The sequence below is a fragment of the Homo sapiens genome, chromosome X (genome assembly GCF_000001405.40).
Source record: "Homo sapiens chromosome X, GRCh38.p14 Primary Assembly".
Taxonomy (NCBI): domain Eukaryota; kingdom Metazoa; phylum Chordata; class Mammalia; order Primates; family Hominidae; genus Homo; species Homo sapiens.
The window spans coordinates 121775067-121783950 of NC_000023.11; positions in this window are offsets into that span (position 1 = coordinate 121775067).

Here is an 8884-nt window from a genome sequence, read left to right on the forward strand (position 1 = left end):
TCTCCTTGTGGAGAACTTCACCTCCTTGGTTAAGTATATTCCTAGATATTTTATTCTTTTTTTTTTTTTTAGCTATTGACAAGGGGATTGAGTTATTGATCTGATTTGCAGCTTTGTTTTTGGTGGTGTATAGCACTGCTACTGATTCGTGTACATTGTCTTTGTAACCTGAGACTTTACTGAATTCATTTATAAGACATAAGAGTCTCTTGTAGGAATCTTTAGGGTTTACTAGGTGTAAGACTATATCACTGGCAAACAAAGATAGTTTGACTTCCTCTTTTCCAATTTGGATGCCCTTTACTTCTCTTTCTTGCCTGGTTACTTTGAGTGGGACTTCCAGTACTATATTGAATAAAAGTGGAGGAAGTCAACATAATTGTCTTGCTCCAGTTCTTAGGGGGAATGCTTTTAACTTTCCACCATTTACTATGTTGTTGGCTGCCAGTTTGTCATATATGGCTTTTATAATTTTTTTGTTTGTTTTTTTGAGACAGTGTCTCACTCTGTCATCCAGGCTGGAGTGCAGTGGCGCGATCTCAGCTCACTGCAACCTCTGCCTCCCGAGTTAAAGTAATTCTCCTGCCTCAGCCTCCTGAGTAGCTGGGATTACAGGCCCGTGCCACTACGCCCAGCTAATTTTTGTATTTTTAGTAGAGACGGGATTTCACCATGTTGGTCAGGCTGGTCTCAAACTCCTGACCTCGTAATCCACCTGCCTTGGTCTCCCAAAGTGCTGGGATTACAGGTGTGAGCCACTGTGCCCAGACGGCTTTTATAATTTTGAGATATATTGTTCTATGCCCAGTTTGTTGAGGATTTTTATCATAAAGGGATGCTGGATTGTATTGAATGCTTTTTCTTTGTGTATTGAGATTATCATGTGGTTTTTGTTTTTAATTCTGTTTTGTAATGAATCACATTTATTGACTTTTATATGTTGAAACATCCCTGCATCCATGGAATAAACCCACTTGATCATGGTGAATTATTTTTTGATACGCAGTTGGATTTGGTTTCCTAGTATTTTGTTGAGGATTTTTGCATCTATATTCATCAGGAATATTGGTCTGTAGTTTTCTTTTTTGTTGTTGTTTTTATGTTCTTTCCTGGCTTTCTATCAAGGGGATACTGGCTTCATAGAATGAGTTACAGAGGAGTTTCTCCTTCTGAGTCTTTGGGAATATTTTCAGTAGAATTCGTACCAATTCTTCTTTGAATGTCTGGTAGAATGTGATTGTGAATCCATTTGGCCCTGGGTATTTTTTGTTGGAAGTTTATATATGACGGATTCAATCTTGCTGCTTGTTATCAGTGTGCAGGATTTCTGTTTCTTTCTGATTCAAGTTAGGGGGTTGCATGTTTCCAGAAATTTACCTATTTTCTCTAGATTTTCTAGTTTGTGTGCATAGAGGAATTCATAGTAGTCTGGAATGATCTTTCATATTTCTGTGTGTCTGGTGTAGTGGCACATATTTCTGTGTGTCAGGTGTAATTTCTGTGTGTCAGGTGTAATGTCTCCATTTTCATTTCTAATTGAGTTTATTTGAATCTTCTTTCTACTTTTCTTGGTCAATCTAGCTAGTGGTGTATCAATTTTGTTTATCTATTCAAAGAACTACTTTTTGTTTTATTGATCTTTTGTATGTCTTGTTTGATTTTCATTTAGTTCTGTTCTGACCTCTGTTATTTCTTTTCTTCTGCTGGCTTTGGGTTTGGTTTCTTCTTGTTTAACAAGTTCCTTGAGGTGTAATGTTAGCTTTTCAATTTGTGATCTCTCAGATTTATAGGCACTTGACACTATAAACTTTCCTCTTAGCACTGCTTTTTCCATGTCCCAGAAGTTTTGATACCTTGTGTCACAGCTATTATTCATTTTGAAAATTTTTTCAATTTCTATTTTGATTTCATTGTTAACCCCAAAATCCTTCAGGAGCAGATTGTGTAATTTCCATGCATTTGTATAGTTTTGAGGTTACTTTTGTATTTTATTTCTAGTTTTATTACACTGTGGTTTGAGAAATTACTTCATATAATTTTAATTTTTTAACTTATTGAGACTTGTTTTGTGGCCTATTATATGGCCTATCTTGGAGAATGTTCTATGTGCTGATGAGAAGAATGTCTATCCTGGAGTTTTGGGGCAGAATGTTCTACAAATACCTGTTAGGTACATTTGCTCTAGGGTGATGTTTAAGTCTGGAGTTTCTTTGTTGGTTTTTTTTCTGCCTTGATAATTTGTCAAGTCCTGTTAGTAGAGTGTTGAATTCCCCCACTATTATTGTGTTGCTGTCCATTTCTTTTCTTAAGTCTGGTAGTAATTGCTTTACAAATCTGGGAACTCTGGAACTAGGTGCATATATATTTAAGATTGTTATACATTCTTGTTAAATGTATTCTTTATCATTATATAATGACCTTCGTCTTTTTGTTACTGTTGTTTTAAAGTTTGTCTTATCTAAGAATAGCTATCTGTCCTTGCTTTTGATTTCCATTTGTGTGAAATATCTTTTTCCACCCCTTTACCTTCAGTCTACAAGAATCCTTATGAGTTGGGTGTATCTCCTGAAGATATAAGGTATTCGGTTTGCATTTTTTAATCCATTATTCCAATCTGTATCTTTTAAGTGGAGAATCAACATTGACATTGAGATGTGAAGTACTATTCCAGTCATCACGTTGATTGTTACCTGGTGAGTTTGTTTTATTCATTGTGTTATTGTTTTGTAAGCCCTGTGAATTTTATGCTTTCAGGAGTTTCTATTCTAGTGTGCCTTGACCTTTTATTTCAACATTTAGAACTCCTTTTGTATTTCTTGTAGGGTTGATCTGGTAGTGACAAATTCCCTCAGCATTTGCTTGTCTGAAAAAGATTTTGTTCATCCTTCATTTATGAAGGGTAGTTTTGCTGAAAACAAAATTATTGGCTGATAGTTGTTGCGTTTAAGGAGACTAAAGATAGGACCCTGCTCCCTTCAGGCTTGCAAGGTTTCTGCTGAGAAGTCTGCTGTTACTATGATACATTTTCATTTATAGGTTACTGGATTCCTTTGTCTCACTGCTCTTAGAATTATTTTCCTCACATTGACTTTAGATAACCTAATGACTATATGCCTTGGCAATGCCCTTTATGCAGTGCATCTCCCAAGAGTTGCTTGAGCTTTTTGAATTTGAGTATCTAAATCTCTAGCAAGGCCATGGAAGTTTTCCAAGATTATTTCCTCAAATAGGTTTTCCAAACTTTTTGCTTTCTCTTCTCCTTCAGAAACCACTATAATCCTTGGGTTTGGCTGTTTTACACAAACACATGTTTCTTAGAAACTGTTATTTCCTTTAACTCTTTTTATTTATTTTTATCTGGTTGGGTTCATTTGAAAGCCTTATCTTCAAGCTCTAAAATTATTTCCTCTCCTTGGTCTAATCTATTGTTAAAACTTTCCACTGCATTTTATAGTTCCCTAAATGTGTCTTTCATTTCTATACGTTTTGATTGTTTTTTCTTCAAAATATCTATCTCTAGAAAATGTCTTATTTATATTCTGGATTTAAAAAATTCTTTAGGTTGCTTTTCATGTTTCTATTGTATCTCCCTGAGTAGCTTAATTATCAACATTTTGAATTCTTTATCTGGTATTTCAAAGATTTCATCTTGGTTTGATGAAATAAAATACAGATACAGATACAGAATTAGTGTGATGTTTTTGGGGTGTTTTAGAACCATGCTTTTTCATGTTGCCAGAATTATTATTCTGGTTTATTCTTGCTTGGGTAGACTATTTCTTTTAATAAGTTTTGGATTTATTTTTAATTTACTGTGTTTTGTCATTTTGGTTTTTGTCCTCCTTGAGGATATGACTTAAGTGTTTATAGTTTAATGTCACCTAGCTTCAGCTCTGGGTGCTTTCAGTGGCAAAGATTCTGTATGGGTTCCTTGGTTATAGAGAGTCATTGTGTGATAGCTTTCTCAGATGATAGTTTTAGTAATCACGTGCTGGATGTGTGAGCAGGTTTGCTTTCTCCTATGGGGCCTGTGACCAATGCCTGAGTTACCTGGCAGACTTCTTTGTGGTCCTCTCTAAGGTAGAATCAGAAAAGTCTTCCCTGCATCCCCACTGGAGACTGGGAGTGCACGCGAAGCATGTCCTGAGGTTTCTACTTCTCATATATTTCCTTCAAGGCAGTGGTTTTCCTTCTGGCCCAGGGTGTGTCTGCTTTTTGTTTCTTATGAAGGTGCTTTTTCTGTGTAGATAGTTGTTAATTTGGTGTCTTTGCAGGGAAAACAATAGGTGGAGCTTTCTATTCCACCATTATGCTTCACCCCTAATTGAGTGTCTTTTTTTACACACCCTTTCCTACCTGGAGTTTTTGCATTTTTTTTTTTTAGACACCATATCACTGTAGCATCCAAGCTGGAGTGCAGGGGCATGATCACTGCATTCTTTTTAATCTCTGTCATTCCTATATGCAAAAGAAGTCCTATTAGTTGTTTATAATGACTAATGCAACATACCTCATAATATGTATATTCAACATTTGTATTTCTTCTTTTGTAAGTGACCATGCTTGCAAAAATGATGTCTTTATTTTTTCTTAAGATTAATAATAGTAGGCTTGTTGTTTGACATGTACATTGCATTTTTCCTACTTTGTTAGCTATCTTTCATATATATATGTATATATACATATGTGTGTGTATATATTTGATTGTTTTATTTAAAAAATTATGATTTTAAAAAATCTTTGTGGGTATTTAAGGTGTATATATTTATGGGGTACATTAGATATTTTGATACAGGAATGCAATGTAAAATAATCACATCATAGGGAATGGGATAGCTGTTCCCTCAAGCATTTATCCTTTGAGTTACCACAATCCAATTACATTCTTTATTTTTAAATATATAATTTAGTTATTATTAACTATAGTTACCCTGTTGTGCTATCAAAGACTAGATCTTATTTATTCTTTCTTTCTTTTTTTTTTTTCTATCCATTAACCATGCCCACCTCCCTCCCAGCCCCTACTACCCTTCCCAGCCTCTGGTAACCATAAATCTATTCCCTATGTCCATGAGTTCAATTGTTTTGATTTTTCGATCCCACAAGTAAGTGAGAACATGCAATGTGTGTCTTTCTGTGCCTAGCTTACTTCACTTAATGTAACGATCTCTAGTTCCATCCATGTTGTTGCAAATTATTGGATCTCATTTTTTTTATAGCTGAATAGTACTTTGTTGTCATTATCTCTTGATGGACACTTAGGTAGCTTCCAAATCTTAGCTATTATAAACAGTGCTACAACAAACATAGGAGTGCAGATATCTCTTTGATATACTTATTTCCTTTCTTCTGGGTATATACCCAGCAGTGAGATTGTAGGATCATATGGTAGCTCAATTGTTAGTTTTTTGAGGAACCTCCAAACTGTTCTCTATAGTGGTTGTACTAAGTTACACTCCCACCAAGAGTGTATAAGTGTTCCCTTTTCTCCACATCCTCACCAGCATCCTGTCTTTTGGATATAAGATATTTTAACTGGGGTGAGATAATTTCTCATTGTAGTTTTGATTTCTATTTTTATGATGATCAGGATACTAAACACCTTTTTATATGTCTGTTTGCCATTTGTATGTCTTTTTTTGAGAAATCTCTATTCAACATTTTGCTCATTTTTGATCAGATCATTAGATTTTTTCTTAAAGAGTTGTTTGAGCTACTTATATATTCTGGTTATTAATCCCTTGTTAGATGGGTAATTTGCAAATATTTTCTCTCATTCTGTGTGTTGTCTCTTCACTTTGTTCATTGTTTCCTTTGCGGTGCAGACACTTTTTAACTTGATTTAATTCCATTTGTACATGATTGCTGTGTTTGCCTGTGCTTGTGGGGTATTGCTCAACAAATCTTTGCCCAGATCAATGTCCTGGATATTTTCCCCATTGATTTCTTGTAATAGTTTCATAGCCTGAGGTCTTAGATTTAAGCCTTTATTCCATTTTGATTTGATTTTTGTATATGGTGAGAGATATGAGTGGGGTTTTATTCTTTTGCATATGGCTATCCAGTTTTCCCAGCACCATTTATTGAAGAGATTGTCTTTTCCCCAGTATATGTTCTTGGCACCTTTGTCAAATATGAGCTCACTATAGGTGTTTGAATTTGTTTTGGGGTTCTCTATTTTGTTCCTTTGGTCTATGTGTCTGTTTTTATGCTAGTCCCGTGCTGTTTTGGATACTATAGCTCTGTAGTATAATTTGAAGTCAGGTAATGTGATTTCTTCAATTTTGTTCTTTTTTCCCTAAGATAGCTTTGGCTATTCTGCATCTTTTGTGGTTACATATAAATTATAGGGTTGTTTTTTCTATATCTGTGAAAAATTTCAATGGTGTTTTAATAGGGATTGCATTTAATCTGTAAATTACTTTGGGTAGTATGAACATTTTAACAATATTGATCTTTCCAACCCATGAAGGTAAAATATTTTTCCTATTCCTATTTTTGGTGTCCTCTTCAATTTCCTTCATCAGTACTTTATAGTTTTCATTATAGAGATCTTTCACCTCTTTGGTTAAGTTAATTCCTAATATTTAATTTCATGTGTGTCTACTGTAAATGGGATTACATTTTTATTTCTTTTTTTGGATTGTTAACTGTTGGCATATAGAAATGCTAGTAATTTTTGTATGTTAATTTTGTATGCTGCAACTTTACTGAATGCATTTATGAGTTCTAGTAGTTTTCTTGTGGAGTCTTTAGGTTTTTCCAAATACAAGATCATATTATCAGCAAATGAGGATAATTTGACTTCTTCCTTTCCAAATCATGTGGTCTTTATATCTTTTTCTTGTCTGATTGCTCTAGCTAGGACTTCCAGTACTATGGTGAATAACAGTGGTGACAGTGGGCATCTTTGTCATGTTCCAGATCTTAGAGGAAAGGGTTGCAGACTTCTGTGTGCATCACCACTATGATTGCACTGGGTCATACCTGAAGCCAGCACAGCACTGTGTCTCACTCAAGGCCTGCTATAACCACTCCCTGGCTATAGCCTACATTTCCTGAAGGCCCTGGAGCTCCATGATTAGCAGGTGGTAAAGCCAGCCATGCCTGTTTCCTTCCCTTCAGGGTGGTGAGGCCCCACAAGCCTGGGCAGGATCAGAAGTGCTATCCAGGAATCAGGGACTAGAGCCAAAAATCTTAGAAGTCTACCAGGTATTCTGTTGTATTGTGACTTAGCTGGCACTCAAACCACAAGACAGAGTTCTTCCCACTCTTGCCTCTCCTTTCCAAAGGCAGGGGAGTCTCACTCATAGCCACTGTAACCTCTGGCCATGAGGAGGACTGCCAGATTATTGCCAATATTTCTTTAAGGCCCAATGGCTCTTAAGTCAGCTTGTGGTGAATGCTGCCTGTAGTGGGACTCACCCTTCAGGGAAATGGGCTCCCCTCTGGCCCACAGCTGGTCCAGAAATGTCATCCAAGAGTCATGTCCTAGAATGAGGGACCTCAAAAACTTGCTTGGCACCATAACCAACACCTATTGGTATTGGTTCCTAAAATGCAAGACAACACCCTTTTTTACTTTTCCCTCTGCTTTTCTAAGCGGAAGAGGTTTTGATTTGTAGTCACCACAGCTGGTAAAGTGCTGAGTCTAATCTGAAGGCAGCATGTCTCAGTGGCTCACCAAGGCCCTTGATGTAATACTTGAGTATTACTGCTGGTTATTTAAGGCCCAAGGGCTCTTCAGTTAATGGGTATTGAAGGCTGGCAGGATTGATTTGTTTTCTTTAAGGAATCAGCTTATCTTCTGGCCCAGGGTGTGTCTAGAAATGTCATCTGGGAGTTAGTGCTGGGAACGTGGGCCTGGTAACTCTGACCAGTGCTCTTTATTTCTGTGGCTGAGCTGGTATCCAAGATGCAAGACAAAGTCCTCCCCACTCTTCCCTCTCCTCTCCTCAAGCAGAAGGAAGTAATCTCTTTTGGAGCCACGAGCTGTACAGCCTGAAAGTAGGGAAGTGGTGATGCCAGCCCTCTCTTGGCTGCCTCATCTGGTGCCTCAGTATGTCACATGTTCCCCCAGTCCACTGTCTAGGCTTAGTTCAACATTAGGAGTTGCCTAAGAGTTGCAGTCCTTATGGCCTACACTGTCCTTCAAGTTTACTTAGAGGCCAAGAGCACTTTGACTCTCGGTGGAGAGGTTTGCAGGCATTCAGATTCTGACCGCTGGTATCAGCAATTCCCCTCTGGCTATGACTGGTTTAAATGCTCCCTTTCTGGGAGGGCATCAGCTGAATTTGGTCTGGTTTTCCTTTCTGCTCTAATGGAACAGTACTGAGTTCAGTGCCTCACAATTACTGTGCTCTCCCTCCACCATCACCCAGAGATATTCTCTGCTTCATGCTACTGCTGCCAGGAGGTGGGGGAGGGATGGCGTTGGTGATTCAGTACTGGCTTTTCTACTTCTTTAGTGCCTCTGTCAGCGATACGAAGTTAAACCAGGTACTGTGAGTGCTCATCTGATTTTTAGTTATTATGAAGGCGTTTTTTTCTGTGTAGAGAGTGGTTTACTTGGTGTACTTGTGGGCATGGGGAACGAACGGTTGAGCTTTCTATTCACCCATGTTGCTCCACTTCTCCTGATTGTATTTTTCCTACATATTCTTAACATTTCTTTTTAGTCCAATTTATCAAACATTACCAGTTATTTCTGATTTTAATATTTTTCATATTTACAAATGACTCAAATCATATCAGTAAGAAAGATCACCTAATTTTTTTCTAGTGTGTTTATGTTTTATTTTGTACTGAAATCTTTGAATGATCTGGAGGTTGTTTTCATAGTAAGGATAGAAGCATTTCCTGTTTGTTGCTACATGACTGCTTT